We start from the raw sequence: 19486 nt of genomic DNA, 5'->3' as shown, positions 1-19486 counted from the left end.
TAAATACTTTTTTAATACTTCATTCTCTCCTTTCTTTGTAGGACCCCAACTAAACATATGTTGAAAAGCTTGGTATTATCCCATAAGTCTTTGAGGACATGTTCAATTTTCTTTCTTTTTTTAATGGATCTTCAGATTAGATCATTTCTACTGATGTATCCTTAAGTTCACTGATTCTTCTATTTCTAGTCTTGTGCTTATCTTCTAAATTCTATAACATTTTTTAGCTCTAGAATTTTCATTTGTCTTTTTTATAGTTTCAGTTTCTCAAGATTCCTTATGTTGGCTAATTGAGACCATGTTTTCCTTAATTTATCTGAGCACATTTGTAATTGCTGGTTTGAAGTAGTTAATAAATCCAACACCTGGCTCTAGTTAGAGTAAATTATTACAGCCTGACTTTTTTTTTTTTTAATATGGGTCACACTTTCATGTTTCATTACATGTCTCGTAATTTTTGGCCACAAACTTAACATTGTGGATAGTTTATTACCAACTCTAGTTTCTGCTTTATTCTTCTGGGTATTACTGGTTTTTTGTATTCTAGCTGGCAGTAAACATTCCTGTACTCAAACTTCAAATTCTATCTTCCAGCAGTATGCAGCAGCTGATCTCTTTGCTCAGTTTTTATAACTTCCAGTTGCTGCTTTTCTAGCCTGGTCTCCTTTTGTGCCCATGGAGCTTAGCAGTCAGCCAAGGAACTGGAGAGCTTATACTGAGATTTTTGGATATACCCACCCTGAGGTTCCCCTATTTCTCCAGCTGCTCTATCAATCCAAAACTGTTTTGCTTTATTTGAGATGGAGTTTCACTTTTGTTGCCCAGGCTGGAATGCAGTGGTGCGATCTCAGCTCACTGCAGCCTCCACCTCCCAGGTTCAAGCGATTCTCCTGCCTCAGCCGCCAGAGTAGCTGGGGCTACAGGCGCGTGCCACCACACCTGGCTAATTTTTGTATTTTTATTAGAGACAGGGTTTCACCATGTTGGCCACGCTGGTCTCGAACTCCTGACCTCAAGTGATCCACCTGCCTCGGCCTCCCAAAGTGCTGGGATTACAGGAGTGAGCCACCGTGCCTGGCCAATCCAAAACTCTTTACTCTGATACCTACTTCTGAGGTTAGGGAATGTACTCAAAATACATGCATGCATACATACATACATACATACATACATACGTAAATATAAAGAAGCTATTAATCTTAGCACAACTTTATCTTTCAAGGATTGACTTTTTGCTGGTTTGTCTGCTTTTTCAATGGCCCCTGTAGGGTGTCCATGTCCCACTATCCTTCATATGCAGTTAGCTAGGGATTACAGCAGAGTTTATAGTCAGATTTGGGGTTCTATTCCTTCTGCAGATCTCTTTCTTCCAGGATTTTTCTAGGTTATTTCCAGCTTCTCTGCCAGTCCTGATGCTGTCTTCTGCCACTTCCAACAGATAGGGCTGTCATTTTCTCCTGCCAGTCTTTCAAGGGGTTGAGAAGTACCCCTTTCTGGTAATGTGATAAGATAGGCACCTTAAAAGCACTCTAGTGCCAGTGCTTAGATTAGAAGTGGAGACAGAAAAGCAAAGAACAATTAGAAGGCCTTTGCAGTCTTAAATTTTGGTATTAGGGTTAATAGCTTTGTGAAGTGAATTAGGAACTTTTTTATAGTTTATGCTCTGAAACAATTTACATACCATAGAACTTAACTGTTACTTGAAAGTCTGACAGAAATTTCCCATAAAAGTCAGGACCAAAAATAAAGATATTTAGAAGGAATGTCTTGAATTCTCAATTTAGCACATGACTTTTGCCTTTTGGGGGTTTTATTGAGTGACTATTATGTTTTTCTGAGGAAAACATCCATTTCTACAGAATTTTAAAATGTATTTTTAGACCTCTAGAAATATTAAATGCTACTGATAGACCAGTTAAGCCATCAAAAACAACACCCTTAAACAAGTTTAGAAGCACTTTAACTGAGTTGCACATTGACACTGGGCTTTCAAAGGTTATGAAAGTTTGCTCTAAGAAATAGCTGTGTGTAAAAACAGCTCACAGCTAAATGCCCTAAATGTTTCATGTGGAGTGTTTTCATTTTTATTTTTGTTTTGTTTTGTTACAAATTAGAGCTAGAAAGGCTTTTTAACTTTTTTTTCTTCTGGGAAACTGAGAATATTTCTCTCCCTTCTAATGATGAGATGATTTAACTCCTTTTTCGGACTGTTTTCTGAATTCTGGATCCACCTGAGATATTTCAGTGCTCACTGAAAGGGGTGGGGAGAGGCAGGCATCTCTCTTGTTCATCTAGTCATGTGCTGTCTTATTGGGTAGAAAAAAAAAGTTCTGCAAAAACATTAAAATCACTGATAATTGACAATCTGTGTTTTTTTAATTTTTGCACCAGCAACCAGACAGCCCAGCATCAAATCTAAGCTCAAACCAAGCATTATGTTTAATATGCTTATATTTCAGACCATCATTATGTGTGTTTTTTCATTTTATATAAAATGCTAAATACCTTCTTAAATTCTTTGTAAAATGATATAGGTATAAATATATAAATTAAGGTTAAATAAGGTGGGAAAGTTAAATTATAAAATCTAAAATTACGGAAAAATCAAAATAGACTAGAAAAGTTAACTTGATTTTTAAATAGAAATCATAAAGAAAAATAAGAAATTATGTCTCTACACAGTATAAAGTGAGAATAAAACAATAGAAATATGACACTTCTTCAAGAGTCTGTGATATTTTAAAAATACCAATCTTCAACAGAAATATTGACAAAACATTTTCCAGAAGAAGAAACTAAGTTAAAATGTAGAAATGTGCATTCTTGTAAATGGTAGTGAAAAGTAAACTAGGAAATCTATTTTTTAAAAGTAATTCCCAATGACATCGGGGGTTTTTTTTGTTTTGTTTTGTTTTGTTTTGTTTTTTTAATAAGAGACAGAATCTCACTCTGTAACCCAGGCTAGAGTGCAGTGGCATGATCATAGCTCATTGTAACCTCAAACTCCTGGGCTCAAGAGACCTTCCTGCCTCAGACTCCTGAATAGCTGGGACTACAGCCACATGCCACCACGCCAAGCCAATTTTTAAATTTTTTGTGGAGATGGAGTCTCACTATGTTGCCCAGGCTCATCTCAAACTCCTGCGCTCAAGCAATCCTCTCACCTCAGCCTCCCAAAGTACTGGGATTACAGGGGTGAGCCACCACACCTGGCCCAATGATATCATTTTTCTAAACAATGCCTTCTTTGCTGTTAACATTGTAAGATTGTTTGTATACTTTAAAAGGAGCAAAATGGTCATATGTGGGAACAGCCATAGAGATTCATTTCTTTTGACCAAATAATTCCACTCCTATTAAAGTAGACATATATACAAAATTATTTATTAAAGCACTTTTTGTTAGAGGGCAACTGACATATCTAACATCTGGGGAGTAGTCTAATTGTCATGATACATCACGATAAGAGTCCTATGTCATCATTAAAATTGGAACAATGAGGCCAGGCACAGTGGCTCACACCTATAAATCCACCACTTTGGGAGGACAAGGCAAGAGGATCGCATGTGGGCAGGAGTTCAAGACTAGCCTGAGCAATATAGCAAAATCCTATTTCTACAAAATAAAAAATAAAAAATGAGCCAGGCGTGGTGACATATGCCTGTAGTCTCAGCTACTCCAGAGACTGAGGTGGGAGGGTTACTCCAGCCCAGGCATTCAAGGCTGCAGTGAGCTATGATCAAACCACTATACTCCAGCCTGGGCCACAGAGTGATCCTGCCTCAACAAACAAGGACAAAATTGTAACGATATGTAGTTAGACAATATATACAATCCTATACATTTTGACAAAATTGTAGCAAAGAATATGTAGTTAGACAATACATACAATTGTATAACATTTTGACAAAATTGTAACAATAGTTTGACAATATATACAATTGTATAACATTTTGACAAAATTGTAACAATGATATGTAGTTAGACAATATATACAATTGTATAACATTTAATGTTAAATAATTGCAACTGTAAAATACGTATATGTGAAGGGGATCTGAAAATCAACTGAATCAAAATGTAAGGATTACTGCCACTTTAAAAATTTGCTCAAATTTATGAATCTTATTTCACTTTTTAAAATCATGCAAATCATCTAAGATGCTGGGACACATTCCTAGCCTTCCCCTCTGTGCCCAACCAAAAAGGAATTCTACAGGTACTTGAATGGCCTTCTGTCCTGTTTGGTGTGATTGTAAATGACAGTATTCGAGAATCTGACTTTCTTCAAAAAATACATAATGCAATACCCTTAAGGGTAAGTTTGTAATTTTTTTTTTTTTTTTTAATGGAGTCTTGCTCTGTCACCCATGCTGTGGTACAATGGTGCAATCTCGGCTCACTGCAACCTCCACTTCCCAGGTTCAAGCGATTCTCCTGCCTCAGCCTCCCGAGTAGCTGGGATTACAGGCACCCGCCACCACGCCCAGCTAAGTTTTGTATTTTCAGTAGAGACAGGGTTTCACCACATTGGACAGGCTGGTCTCAAACTCCTGACCTCAGGTGATCCTCCCACCTTGGCCTCCCAAAACGCTGGGATTACTGGCGTGAGCCACTGTGCCTGGTCGCCATTTGTAATCTTTATACCATGATAGAGCTAAAAGTGGCCTTAGAGATTAGATAGTGGAATACACTTTTCATTGAAAACTCAGGCCTGACGAGTTCAGATATGTCTAGGATCACACAGTTAATTAGAGGTAAACAGTATCCTGGTACTCTTTTTTTTCCTTTTTTTTTTTTTTTTGAGATAGGATCTCACTATTACCAGGCTGTTATCTCACTGTTACCCAGGCTGGAGTACAGCAGCACAATCATAGCTCACTGCAGCCTTGACCTCCCAGACTCAAGCGGTTCTCCCACCTCAGCCTGCTGAGTAGCTAGGACTACCACTACGTACCACCCACACCCAGCTAATTTTTTTTTTTTTTTTTTTTTTTTTTTGTAGAGGTGGGGTCTCTGCTGCCCAGGCTGCAATGAAGTGGCATGATTCTAGCTCACTGCAGCCTTGACCTCTGGCAACTGATCCTCCTACCTCAGCCTCTCTAGTAGCTGGGACCAGAGGCACGCACCACCATACCCAGCAAAACCTTTTTATATTTAGTAGAGACAAGGTCTTGCTATGTTGCTCAGTCTGGTCTTGAACTCCTGGCCTCAAGTGGTTCTCCTGTCTCGGCCTCCCAAAGTGCTGGGATGACAGGCATGAGCTACCGTGCCCAGCCTTAATATCTTCTTTACTGCCAGGTGTGTGTGTGTGTGTTTTTTTTTTTTTTTTGGAAGAGTCTTTCTCTGACGCCCAGGCTGCAGTGCAGTGGTGCCATCTCGGCTTACTGCAAGCTCCGCCTCCCGGGTTCATGCCATTCTCCTGCCTCAGCCTCCCGAGTAGATGGGACTACAGGTGCTCGCCACCATGCCCAGCTAATTCTTTTGTATTTTTAGTAGAGACGGGGTTTCACCGTGTTAGCCAGGATGGTCTCAATCTCCTGACCTCGTGAACTGCCCGCCTTGGCCTCCCAAAGTGCTGGGATTACAGGCGTGAGCCACCGCCCCCGGCCTACTTCCAGTTTTAATTCTGACATTTCTGACTTGACTTAGGCACCCACACTGATGACATTTCCCTTGACGAAATCTGAATAATCCAGGGACTTGCTAATTAATTGATTGGATTTACTTGGACATGTCAAGTTTTCACAATTGTCCATGAGAGTGTGGTGTCTATATATATTTAAATATATATTATATATGTTTTATATGTACACACACACACACACACACACACACACACACACACACATATATATATATATATTTTTTTTTTTTTTTTGAGACGGAGTTTCACTCTTGTTGCCCAGGCTGGAGTACGATGGCGCAATCTCGGCTCACCGCAACCTCTGCCTCCCGGGTTCAAGCAATTCTCCTGCCTCAGCCTCCCAAGTAGCTGGGATTGCAGGCATGTGCCACCATGCCCGGCTAATTTTGTATTTTTAATAGAAACAGGGTTTCTCCGTGTTTGTCAGGCTGGTCTCAAACTCCGAACCTCAGGTGATCCACACCCCTCGGCTTCGCAAAGTGGTGGGATTATAGGCGTGAGCTGCTGCACCCGGCCCAGTGTCTATATTTTTTAATACATAAGTTTGAAATGTTGGTGACTTTAAAATGTCATTGGATTGTGTTGGCTATCTGAAAGCTTCAAGACTAGAATAAAAATTTGAACTTAATATAGGAGCTGGTGACTTGATCAGAAAACCTATATTTTCAATCATTTTCTTTATTATCAGCCTATTAGAAATAAGATACAAACACGCCTGTAGTCCCAGCTACTTGGGAGGTTGAGGCAGGAGAATGGCATGAACCTTGGAGGCGGAGCTTGCAGTAAGCTGAGATCGCACCACTGCTCCGGCCTGGGTGACAGAGCGAGACTCTGTCTCAAAAAAAAAAAAAAGACAACCAGATGACCAGTGCTCAAACCAAAACCTATGTGATCATGGTGGGGAACAATCAACTGTCAATCAGCTGCTGCTTCTAGATGTGAAAATTCACATATAGAAACCTAGCCTTTACTGCTGGATTCACGAGTTACAGTTAGGGACCGCAGACCTTTTTCTTAAAACATACCTTCAAATCATCTAGTAACTAAGCTAAGGCTCTCCAACTTTATTTTTTTTTTGAGATGGAGTCTCACTCTGTCACCCAGACCAGAGTGCAGTGGCGTGATCTTGGCTCACTGCAAACTCCACCTCCTAGGTTCAAGCAATTCTCCCTGCCTCAGCCTCCTGAGTAGCTGGGATTATAGGCACCCACCAACACACCCATCTAATTTTTGTATTTTTTTTTTTTTTCAAGTAGAGACAGGGTTTTCACCATGTTGGCCAGGCTGGTCTTGAACTCCTGAACTCAGGTTATCTGCCTGCTGCAGCATCCCAAAGTGCTGGGATTACAGGCATGCACCCCCTGCACCTGGCTGGCTTTTTTGTTTGTTTTTTTTGTTTGTTTTTAGACAGTCTTGCTCTGTCGCCCAGTCTGGAGTGCAGTGGTGTGATCTTGGCTCACTGCAGCCTCTGCCTCCCAGGTTCAAGCAATTATCATGCCTCAGCCTCCAAGTAGCTGGAATTACAGGCATGCACCACCATACCCAGCTAATTTTTTGTATTTTTAGTAGAGACAGGGTTTCACCATGTTTGCCAAGCTGGTCTCAAACTCCTGACCTCAGGTGGTCTGCCTGCCTTGGCTTCCCAAAGTCCTGGGATTACAGGGGTGAGCAACCGCGCCTGGACTCTCCAACCTTTTAATGGATGCCTGGACAGGCAAATAAGACTTATGGTAGGTAATAACATCTTTGTTTTAATGACTAAGTCTGAATCATTTTCACATTAAAACAGAAGAAGACCCTGTGCTTCAGCTATTCAAAAAGATATAGAAATTCTTACTTTACAGATCCAAATAGGAAGAAGTTTTGAATCGAGTGCTTTTGAAACTGTTTGAATTAATCTTCTTTCCTAGTGTTCTGTTTACATCTAAAGCAAAAGAAGTGTGAATCCAACCTGCTAAGACCAGAGGCCCAGAGGGAGCAGTAGTAGCATGAGGAGGTGAACAGGAAATTACAGCTCAGGTCTCCCCAAGCCAGGTCAGCTCCAGAGAGGAGTTGGGGAGGTCTCCTCTCTGCCCTCTGAGTACTTGGAAGAGAGGAAACAGTCTCATTTATGATGACCTTCTCCACACTTACCCAGTGCTCAGGATATTTTAAGTGAAAGGTAGCTTATTAGCCCTCTAAGACCTCATTAAAATTCTGGCAATTTTAGTATTTGCAGTTCTGCTTTAAGATAATATTTCCTTTCAACTCTGATGACATATCCTAGCTATTATTGTCTTTTGAGTCTTGCTTAAGAGTCCAAAGTTGATACCAAGTAGTTTAAAATGTTTTTCGGCCGGGCGCGGTGACTCACGCCTGTAATCCCAGCACTTTGGGGGCCAAGGCGGGTGGATCACGAAGTCAGGAGATCGAGACCATCCTGGCTAACACAGTGAAACCCCGTCTCTACTAAAAATACAAAAAATTAGCCGGGCGAGGTAGCGGGCGCCTGTAGTCCCAGCTACTCGGGAGGCTGAGGCAGGAGAATGGCGTGAACCCCGGGGGGCGGAGCCTGCAGTGAGCCGAGATCGCACCACTGCACTCCAGCCTGGGCGACAGGGAGACTCCGTCTCAAAAAAAAAAAAAAAAAAAAAGTTTTTCAAATCATTGAATAAATGATTCTGGGATAACTGGCTATTTGGGGGAAACGTTACTGTTCTTTTCTGATATCACACTTCAAAGTGAACTGGTGAAAAAATCATTGATAACATGTATAGTCTCCTAAGCTGTGTTGCCTTGATTTGCCACTGCCCATAGTGACACTGCAGCTACTGTCAATGACATTTCACAGCCCTTTACTGCCTGCTGAAGCTGTGAGTGGCCACTGAAGTCAGGAAATAGTCAAATGCCATCTGACTTAGATTAATGGCAATGATCTTCAGATAATTCTAGAGGCCCTGGTACTGGGAGCTAATAAAGTGACACCCAACTTTATGCCTCTCAAACCCCATTTCACAGAGCAGTGTGACTAATTCCCAATCAGTCCCTCCAAGGAGAAAGGCCAGATAGAGAGTCTGTCTGCACGAATCATCATCATAATCCCTTTTGTTGGCCCTCTTCACTGGGAGACTGGTGAGAGTTTGGAGGAAGAAGGCAGGGAGGTATATGAGGTGGTAATGAGGCTGAGTATGTGTGAGTGGAGGGAAATAGCCTTCCAAATATAGAAGTTGGTCCTCGTGACAGCTGTCTGGTCTAGTATTTGGTGAAAGCTGTGACTTTATACAACAAATTATTAGAAATGTGTAAGAGATAATCATAAGATGTAGGAAATTAAGCAAAAGATATAAATAGGCAATTTATAAAAGAAATACAAGTGGCCAATAAATATATGAAAAATGGTTTTATCTCACTATTGGTAAGTAATACAATGTCAACTTTCATGTAAAATTGGTGAAATAATAAAGATAATTGTTCAGGGCTGGCATATTTCTTTATGAAATATGAATTTTATAAGTTAATATTGTATCCTGAAGCCTTGCTAAATTCACTTATTCTACTGGCTATTTGTTAAGGTTGCTTAGTATTTTTTTTTTTTTTTTTTTTTTTGAGACGGAGACTCGCTCTGTCGCCCAGGCTCTGGAGTGCAGTGGCGCAAACTCGGCTCACTGCAAGCTCCGCCTCCCGGGTTCACGCCATTCTCCTGCCTCAGCCTCCCAAGTAGCTGGGACTACAGGTGCCTGCCACCACGCTGGGCCAATTTTTTTGTATTTTTAGTAGAGACGGGGTTTCACTGTGTTAGCCAGGATGGTCTCGATCTCCTGACCTCTTGATCCACCCGCCTCGGCCTCCCAAAGTGCTGGGATTACAGGCATGAGCCACCTCACCAGGCAATTGCTTAGTATTTTTAGCGGACACAGTTGTTCACTGGATAGACCGTTTTACTCTCCCCACCGCCCTTTTCTTCCTCTTGCCTTAAGGTACTGGCTAAGACCTGGAATGCAATGCTGAATAGGGGCAGTAAGAACACATATTCTTGCCTTGTTTCCCATCTGACAGGGAAACCACTCGGTCTTTTGCCATTAAGGATAAAGTTAGCTATAGGTTTTTTGTCAATGCCCCTTAATGAAGTTGAAAAACTTTCCTTTGCTGAGAATAGAATCAATGATGCACTGTCAGGTGCTCTTTCTCCAACTATGGATATAATTATATGGTTTTTCTCCTTTATTCTGTTAATATGGTAGATTTTCAAATGTTGAACCACTTATGAATTCAGAAGATAAATCCCTGTTGGTTTTGATATATTATTCTCAGTATATATTGCTAGATTTGATTTACCAATACTTCAAGCAAATAAAAATTATAAACAAATTTTACGTATATGCCCATGAGGAATCTGTCTGTAATTTCTCTTGTAATATTTTTGTCAGGAATTAGGGCAATATTGGCTACATAAAATTATTTGAGAACTGTTCTGTCTGCTGTCTGAAAGAATTTATGTGGAATTGGTGGCTTTTTCCCCTTATATGTCTGAATTTATCAATGCAGCCATTTGGGCCTGAGAGATTTTTAACTACAAATTCAATTTCCTCATTAGGTAGATGTCAACTCATAGTTTGTGTCTTTCAAGGAAGAACTTGTCCATTTTGTTGAAATTATTAGTATAAGGTTTTCCTAATTTAAGGTCTGTAGGATCCATGGTGATGTCCTCTTTTTCATTCCTAATATTTGTATTTTTTCTTGCTCAGTTTTGTTAGGGGTTTATCAATTTTAAAGATATTTTCAAAAAAACTAGATTTTAGTTTCATTGTTTTCTCTATAGTCTTTCTTTTCTAATTCATTGATTTCTGCTGTTTCTTTTTTCTTTTTTCTTTTTTTATTTTTTTGAGGCAGAGTCTTGCTCTGATGCCCAGGCTGGAGTGCAATGGTGTGATCTCAGCTCACTGCAACCTCCGTTTTCCAGGTTCAAGCAATTCTCCTGCCTCAGCCTCCAGAGTAGCTGGGATTACAGGCACCCACCACCACGCCCGGCTAATTTTTGTATTTTTACTAGAGATGGGGTTTCACAATCTCAGCCAGGCTGGTCTTGAACTCCTGACCTTGTGATCCACCTGCCTTGGCCTCCCAAAATGCTGGGATTGCCAGCATGAGCCACTGCACCCGGCCTCTTGATTTCCTTTCTTTGTCTTATCACTATATAGTCACCAGACTGGCTAAAATTGAAAGGACTGGCAATGCCAAGTGTTGGAGAGGATATAGAGCAATTGAAATTCTCATTGCTGGTGAGAATATAACATGGGCACAATCACTTAGGAAAAGTTTAACAGTTGCTTATAAAGACAAATGTACTTTATAAGACCTAGAACTTTTAGTCCTATTTAGTGAAGAGAAATGGGAAACATTTACTAATAAAACCTCAAACAATTCAGGAATAGAAAGGCTTGAAATTCAGTGGAAATTGATAGGTCACACCACACTAAAAGTCACAGATGCATATTTATACTGAATTTGTTTACTAATAAAGTAACATCATGTTTCTATGAATAAGATTGTTCTGTCCTCCCAAGCCAATGGATTTCTACGTGATCTTGATTAATTTCATGTCTGCAGTAGAAGTAGGTGGCATGGTGAATAGAAAGAAGTACACTCGAGATTCTATGCCAGTGGGTTGTAAGACCACCAAAATTGTTTAAAACAAGCTCTTCAGATTCCTCATTTGTTATTGAGGACAAGAGATGAGTCTCCTCTCCTTGGAATCAGATGTGTTCTCTTCCACATTAGTTGTGAAGTAAAAAGTGGACCAGGCTTGCAACTCGTAAGAACATTACAGCAAATAAAATGTCCAGGTAGAGTGTTGTCTCCGCTGGGGCTGCTAAAACAAAATGCCATAGATTGGATGGATGAAACAACAAACATCTATTTCTCAGAGTTCTGGAAGCTGGGAAGACCAAACATCAAGGCAGTAGTCTGGTGAGGACCCTCTTTTTGGTCCATAGACACTTTCTTGATGTATCCTCATACGGCAGAAGAAGAGATCATCTTTCTCATGTACCTTATGAGGGCACTGAACCCATTCATGTGGGCTCCACCCTCATGACCCTCATACTTCCCAAAGGCCCTACCTCCAAATACCATTACAGTTAGGATTTAGGCTTCACCACATGAATTGGGGTTGGAGGAGGGCATAAACATTCAGTCCATAGCAATGCCCTAAAGCATTCTACCTGTGACAACTCATGTAATTTCTCATTCAGGGAGAAAAAAAAACTGTCCACTATAACCATTTATATCAGCAGTTTTGTACAGTGATAAATAGCTCCTAAGCTAGGAATTAGGAGACCTAGGTTCTTGTCCTGCTCCTATCATTGGCTGGCTTTGGAGTCTAGACTGAGGGCAAATCATCTAACCTCTCTGAATCTTAGTTTTTTTGTCCATAAACTGGAGATAATAAAACCAGGCACAAGACTAAAGTGGAATGATGTATGTGAAAGTATCACATAAAATAGGGTGCTATACAAATATACAGAATTATACCTGTGCATAAATTGTACCACCCAGGAGCCTGCCTGGGTACATTCTCCTTAGAAGGGACAGATGGGCGGGGAGGGAGTGAAGAGCCTGTATAATTGTTCCTGTTCTTTAAGAAGAATGTCAGCTTTCAAGACCCCATCTGTTTCTAGCCAGACAAGAAGAAATTATGAGCTAGGTAGTAAGAGGCCCAGGAAATAGAGCTCCAAAAGAAAGAATAGGAAGACGGCTAATGAGAAGTATAAACAGCTAAGGCATCGGGGAGAGGAAGACATATGCATAGTTACCAGCAGTTACATTTACTTCAACGTGACCTTAGGTCCCACATTAATAAACCAAATTTGAAATATTAATATGAACACTTAAATATATCTTTAGCTATGACTGTTGCTATTGGCAGATTTTAACTTTGGTCTCCTTTGTTACTGAGAATTCTTAGATTGAGACTTTTGAAAATTTTTTTAGACATAAGCCTTACGTTTTTCTTGTCTGGTTGTAATCAGCTTGGTGGGCTTTTTATTTTTATAACCAACTTTTATTTCAAAAAATAAAAATCTCAGTGTTGTTTCTCTGTTACCTAGCATGATTTTAAGCTGCTTCCTTCAAAATATTAGCTGGCATTTGAAAAGTATTATAAAATATTTTTAGTATAAAGTTTATATTTCAGTGTATATTTTATTACAAAATATTTTTATAATTTGGAATTAAAATGTTAATTGAATTGTAAAATTCAGTTGCACTTAAAGTGTGCAATGCCTTGTGCTGGTCAAAAATAATACTAAATCCTCTTTAAAAGTCTTGGTAAATTATAAAATGAGATTTTGATTTATACATACCACCACTAACCTATTGTGAACAAAGTCATAATTTCATTAGAATGTACATATTTTTAATAGAATTTATAAAATCCCTTAGGCTTGCAGGCTGTATATATTATTGTAAGATGATAAATCCATTTCACCATTTAAAAAATTTCTGATTTTAAAAGTAACATTTATTGTAGAAAAAATCTGAGTAAGGATAGAAAAATTCAATTTCTTTACTTAGAAGGTAATATTTTTCATTTTTTCTATACATCTTATTTTACATATTTGAGCTCATAATGTATATAAACCATTCCAATTCATCTTCCTTTAAACATTGTTCTAAGCATTTCCTTGAATCATCGACAACCCTAAATTCCTAATTGCTCTGTAAGTTTATCATATGGATATGCCACCATTTTCATATTTTCCTAATGTTGGATGCTTAGATTGTTTCTGGCACTCAGAAATTGTCACTAAGTTGTTAGAGGAATAGTATCTCTTTAAAAGTTTATATTTCTTTAATTACTAATTACATTTGAATATTTTTGCAGGTGTTAGTCATTTTTTCCTTTTTTTTTTTTTTTTTTTTTTTTTTTTTTTTGAGACAGTGTCTTGCCCTGTTGCCCAGGCTAAAATGCAGTGGCAAGATCTCAGCTCACTGCAACCTCTGCCTCCTGAGCTCAAGCGATCCTTTCACCTCAGCCTCCTGAGTATCTGGGACTACAGACACACACTCCCATGCCCAGCTAATGTTTTTAATTTTTTGTAGTGACAGGGTTTCACCATGTTGTCTAAGCTGGTCTTAAACTTCTGGGTTCAAGTGGTACTACTATGTTGGCCTCCCAAAGTGCTGGCATTACAGGCATGAGCCACTGCGCCCAGCCTATGGTTTTTGCTTTGTTTTGTTTTGTTTTTAATGAACCATTCCAATTTTTTATTCCAATGTTCCTCGTAGTACTTACTAATAATGCATATGGTCCTTTATATTAAGGATAATGACTATTTGGTAATACTTTTGGGAAATACAGTTTTGGTTTAATTTTTTTTCTGGTAAAGTAATCGTTAAATTTTGAAAATACAAATAAGAATATAGAAGAAAATCTGCTAGGTGCAGTGGTTCATGCCTGTAATCCCAGCGCTTTGAGAGGCCGAGGCTGGTGGATCACTTGAGGTCAGGAGTTCAAGACCAGCCTGGGCAACATGGTTAAACCGCGTCTCTGCTAAAAAATATAGAAGTTGGGCCGGGTGTGGTGGCTCACGCCAGCACTTTGGGAGGCCGAGGTGGGTGGATCACGAGGTCAGGAGTTCAAGACCAGACTGGCCAACATGGTGAAACCCCGTCTCTACTAAAAATACAAAAAAAATTAGCCAGGCGTAGTGGCACACACCTGTAATCCCAGCTACTCAGGAGGCTGAGGCAGGAGAATTGCTTGAACCCGGGCAGCAGAGGTTGCAGTGAGCCGAGATCGTGCTGCTGCACTCCAACCTTGGGCGACAGAGCTAGACTCCATCTCAAAAATATAATAAAAATTAAAAAAAGAACATAGGAGAAAATAAAACAGTCCATCAGGATTTCTAACATTAAATACACACACACACACACATACACATATATACACATACATTTTTTTTTTGAGACAGGGTCTTTATTGCCCAGGCTGGAATGCAGTAGCATGATTATAGCTCACTGCAGCCTCAAACTCCTGGGCTCAAGCAATCCTCCTATCTCAGTCTCACAGTGTGTGCCACCACACCCAGCTAATTTTCAAACATTTTTTGTAGAGGCAGGGTCTCACTATGTTGCCCAGGCTAGTCTCAAACTCCTGGTCTCAAGCGATCCTCTCATCTTGGCCTTCCAAAGTGCTGGAATTACAGGTGTGAGCTGCTGCACCTAGCCAAGTTTAATTTTAACTGAATTAATACTTCATGTTCTTCATGGTATTCTGCTTAGTTCATGTAACAATATAAAATAAAAACTGTATTAAATACTTTACATTTAAAAATATTACATGGTATTCCATTATATAGATATGCCACAAATAGTGCCTTAAAGATGGACCTTTAGTGTTGCATTGTTTACTACTCTAAACTTTGTGATGTTCTTAAGATAAATTATAAATGGAATTGCTGGGCCTGAATGTACTCACACCTTTAACTTCATGCAAATGATCCTTCCAAAAGGCTAATTCAATTCCCATTAGCAGCATTTAGAATACCTGTTTTCTTATAGCTCACTAAAAATGGATATTTCTATTTTTCTTAACTTTGAGGTATAGTTTACATGTAATAAATGGACTCATCTTAAGCATACAGTTCAATTAGTTTTGACCAACATATATGTACAGCCATGTAACCACCATCCCAATCAAGATACAGAATGCTTCCATCACCCCTAAAAAGTTCCCTCTTGCACATTTGCATCAGTTCCCCTTCTCACCCTAGGCTCTAGATAACCACAGATGTTTCCTGTCAGTGTAGGTTACATTCTGTCACTATATAGATGGATTCATACAGCATGTACTTTGGGGGCCTAGATTATTTTGCTTAGCATGTCTTTGAGATCCATCCCTGTTGCTGCTTGAATCAGCATGTCTTCCTTTATTGTTCAGCAAAAGGCCATTTTATAAATATACCAAAACTTGCTTATCAACATGTGAATAAACATTTGGGTCAATTCCAACCTGGGGCTATTGTGAATAAAGCTGCTGTATGCTTATATAGGTCTTTAAGCCATGACTCTCTAAAAAGAGGTAATCCACTTTCATACCTGGGAGGTCTGTGGACTCTAGGTATATCATCCACTATTTCAAATCAAGCAAATTTCCCAGAGGAAAGCCTAGATCTTGTTTTGGGATCAAATTAGCAGGATGAGGCAATGGTGCAAGATATAATTTTGAGAGCATCTTGGAAAGCTATCTGGAAAGCACCTGATCACCCTCCTCCTGTATCAGCAAGAAGCATAAGACTCCTAATGCTCACTGCCTTCCTCTGTCCACGTCTTCTGGCTCCAGACAAGTCTAAGAGTCCTGCCAAGTCAGTCCCTGTCCCCTCCCATGACAGGGGAGGGTCAGAGGAGAAAATAACGACAGGCATCATGCAGTTTAATGCCAGATCCCCTAAATAGCTCCAGAAGGCAGTAGCAGGGTCAGGCTACCCCACAGGCCACTTGAGCATCTGCCCAGTGGCCTCCAGGGTATTCCAGGTACTCTTCTCAGCTGCAAGAGAAATGTGTACTTTATACCTCAGGAGAGTTCTGTGCAGTGATTTACAGGGCCTACCTTCTGGAAGTAGAATGCTAACTTCTTAAGAGCAACAATCCTGCCTTATACGAATTTTTATACATGCAAGGTACATAGCAGATACTCAAATATGGTTCTGGGTAATGTATAATCTAAGCCCAAGATGTAGGCATGGACTCCTGACTTATAAGTATTCAATGTTTAATAGTTAAAATATGGCCTTTAACACTTCCAATGAAATATTTTCAGTTATCACTTTGAAATATTTTTCTTTGGAATTGAAACTAATGATGGAAATTTTATGTAGATGTATTGTAGACAGGTTGTTTTGTACCATTGTATTTTGAGAAAAGCCAGTAAACTTTATTCCTTCTCTTCCCTTCGCCATTCCCCTTCTGTAGCAGGGACCATTTGGGGGATGAACATGGGGGTTTGTTTTAGAGACAGAATCTTGCTTTGTTGTTCAGGCTATTCTGGAACCCCTGGCTTCAAGCTAGCATCCTGCCTCAGCCTGGGATTACAGGGGTGAACCACTGCACCTGGCCAGCAGGGGCCATTTTAGAGTAAGCTTTAAAATTCTAAGTTTTCAAAAAATTAAACTTGAAAAACAAGATAAACTTTGCAGTTATTTTTATTAAAAGCAATATGATAGCGAGTGGCACGTTTGCAATGGGAATCAGATTTTATAGAGAAGAATGGTTTACAGACAGCTTTTTAGGAAAATATCTCCCATCATAAAGGAGGGAGCTAGACCACTAAAGGAAAGCCTTCCGAGCCTTGCAGACCAAGAGAATCTGGACTGGGTCTGCTTGATTATCCAGGAGCTACATCACTAATGTTAGCTCTCATCTATTGCTCGTGGCAGAATGAGGTTTTTTATCAGGCATGTTTCTCTTCCCTCAGTTCACAGACATTGGGACCTTCGAGACAGTGTGGCAAGTCAAGTTCTACAATTACCACAAGCGGGATCACTGCCAGTGGGGAAGCCCCTTCTCTGTCATTGAGTATGAATGCAAGCCCAACGAGACACGCAGTCTGATGTGGGTGAACAAGGAGTCCTTCCTCTGAAAGTGGCTCTTTCTGATGCTACTGGACAATCTTTTCAGAAATCTACTTTTAGATAAACCAGCGCAGGCCTTAAACAAGGCATGCCACACCATTGCTGTTCCCCATCTGGTACTAATGACCTACTAGCCCTGGTTATTTTGAAAGTGTAATTCCCCTCTGACACAATATCCCTCACATACAAGATGGTGATGTACCACTCCCGAGAATATTCCCATCTGTATTTTGTGCTGATGTTCCTGCATCCAGTTGTTCTCGGTCATACTTTTGACCACTTGTGACTGGAGTTCAGTGGCCCTGGCAGGCTTGTCCTGCTCTTGACCATTCCACTGACTAACTTTGGTGTTTTGTTTCCAAGTTAAGTGATTCCTCCTTTTTTTTGTTCAATGTTAAATTTAAAAATAACAATGTGTATGGGTCCTCCCATGTGTAATATGGTAACATGTAACTTGCAGTGTTTGCCAGCTTTCAAAGCAGGCTTTGTGAAAATGTAATACAAACAGCAGTGAATGGGACTCAAATGTTGTGCTTCCTATAAACAGCTCCGCTCTTTCAGGGAAGGATGGTAACAAACTAGAAGGACAAATATGTACGTATTTATAACGTATTAAAACTCTTTTAAGTAGCTTAAGGTATTGTGCAATGGCCTAGCCTAGTAGAAATGGGGGAAAAGCATTGCTGTGGACCATTGTTAAAGTGACAGGAGTTGTAGGGTTACCCCTTTGACAAGCTTCCATAGTCTTCAGACACGCACATTGATGGCATCCCTACAGTCTTCTTCACTTGAACTTTGTAAAACTGCATATGGACCTGTAATCAACTTTTGATATTTCTTAATAAAGGCGTTGAAAATCATGCCCTGACTTGCATTCTTAATTTGGGCAATAATTATCTAGCAGGTGAATCCCTGCTCTAGGCCAGCTTCACTCAGGCCTGTATGCTACAGGATGACGGGGATGTATCCGGAGTAGAATTAGCACACCTATTCATGAATCAAGCCTGACCTTTTAGCAGGATTGCTCCAGCCAAGTTTAACAGGGCTAGCACAGGCCCAGGTGCTTGGCGGGCAATCAAAAAATGCTTGTACCTATCTCGCTCCATTACTCTTTCTGTGGTGACCCCTCCCCAGTTGGTGAGCTATGTGACTCAGTAGCAGGAGAGCAATGGTGCTATAATAGTGTGTGTACATCATGGTTGAGGCCTCCTTGCCTACTTCCAGCACCTTGCACAAAGCCCATATACCATACAGTTTAAGGATAAATTCCATAAGAAGGAAGTGAACTTCCTCTTGAAAAGTAACATGCTATTTTCCAATAATGTAATATTTACTTGGGCAGCACAAATCCTATAGTATTGGAAAAAGTTCGTTGGGGATTGTTTGTTTTTGCTACCTGTAAACCCTTCTTATAAGAAAATGCAAGCTACTGGGAGTATTTTTAAAAGTTGATTCATTGTAGAACTGAATTTGAAAGGCTGGCACTCAACACCTTTTCTACCTCCAAATCGCTTACCTGCAGTGATGCTGTACAGCCACCAGGGAACAGCAATGCCTTGCCTTTGGGGATCATAAATGATGTTAAAGGAGTGTAACATGTTTCTCAATAAGCTTGTGTTTTTTGTTTGTTTTTTTGTTTTTTTTTAAAGTCTTCATTACAATTGCTAAAACGTAAGTACTAACCCATTCCTAATGACTATTTTTTAAAACCAACACTCAATTATTTGAACAGACATTGAGATATTTAAAACAATGGATTTACTACAGAGGTTTTTCTTCCAGAATATCCAATAGAAATGCAGAGTGAATAAAAGATTTAAAATAAAAAGTGGGAACTACACAATTTAATATTTACTAATTTGATTAGTAAATATTTTCACTGGTGAAACAGGTTTTCAAGCCAGGGACTAGAGCTTGAGTATTTGTGTTGAGGGTGGAGACATTATCATGACTTTTGCAATAATCCACTCTTTTTTTTTTTTTTTTTTTTTGAGATGGAGTCTCACTCTGTCACCCAGACTGGAGTGCAGTGGCATGATCTTGTCTCACTGCAACCTCCACCTCCCAGGTTCAAGCAATTCTCCTGCCTCAGCCTCCTGAGTAGCTGGGATTACGGGCGTGTGCTACCACGCTCAGCTAATTTTTATATTTTTAGTAGAGATGGGGTTTCACCATGTTGGTCAAGCTGTTCTCAAACTCCTGACCTCGTGATCTACCTGCCTTGGCCTCC

The 19486-nt window shown here is 39.9% G+C and overlaps 1 protein-coding gene and 1 long non-coding RNA gene across 12 annotated transcripts in view, besides 2 other annotated features; one reads left to right on the top strand and one right to left on the bottom strand.

Annotated features, from left to right (window-relative positions):
• The window catches only part of CNRIP1 (cannabinoid receptor interacting protein 1), a 35779-nt gene that overhangs the window by 8824 nt on the left and 7469 nt on the right, over positions 1-19486 (top strand). For 9 of the 10 annotated variants that reach the window (NR_163970.1, NR_163971.1, NR_163969.1 and 6 more), the window contains one exon: positions 17100-18116. The exons of the other annotated variant lie outside the window; for it this stretch is intronic. Coding sequence is in view for 6 of the 9 variants with exons in the window: in NM_001371607.1 (NP_001358536.1) it covers positions 17100-17264 (165 nt within the window). In the remaining 3 variants the exon portion in view is untranslated. Of the gene's footprint in view, positions 1-17099; positions 18117-19486 lie in introns of those variants that run through there. 10 annotated transcript variants of the gene reach the window in all.
• Positions 7555-7849: a silencer, noted in NCBI's record as "tiled region #10638; K562 Repressive non-DNase unmatched - State 23:Low". NCBI's record gives its function as "represses a minimal TATA promoter and a strong SV40 promoter by Sharpr-MPRA in K562 cells {active_cell/tissue: K562}" and the evidence as "EXISTENCE:reporter gene assay evidence [ECO:0000049][PMID:27701403]".
• The window catches only part of PPP3R1-AS1 (PPP3R1 and CNRIP1 antisense RNA 1), a 48404-nt gene continuing 40037 nt past the window's right edge, over positions 11120-19486 (bottom strand). The window contains exon 2 of one of the 2 annotated variants that reach the window (XR_001739526.2): positions 11120-11495. This is a non-coding gene — a long non-coding RNA (PPP3R1 and CNRIP1 antisense RNA 1). The remainder of the gene's footprint in view (positions 11496-19486) is intronic. The other variant, XR_001739527.2, reaches the window with a different exon arrangement.
• Positions 15412-15511: a silencer, noted in NCBI's record as "silent region_11589". NCBI's record gives its function as "represses an Ori minimal core promoter by ATAC-STARR-seq in GM12878 lymphoblastoid cells {active_cell/tissue: GM12878}" and the evidence as "EXISTENCE:reporter gene assay evidence [ECO:0000049][PMID:35858748]".

This window comes from Homo sapiens, chromosome 2 (genome assembly GCF_000001405.40).
Source record: "Homo sapiens chromosome 2, GRCh38.p14 Primary Assembly".
NCBI classification, from domain to species: Eukaryota; Metazoa; Chordata; class Mammalia; order Primates; family Hominidae; genus Homo; species Homo sapiens.
Note: the sequence above shows the minus strand (reverse complement) of the source record. Positions and strands in the feature narration are given on the sequence as shown.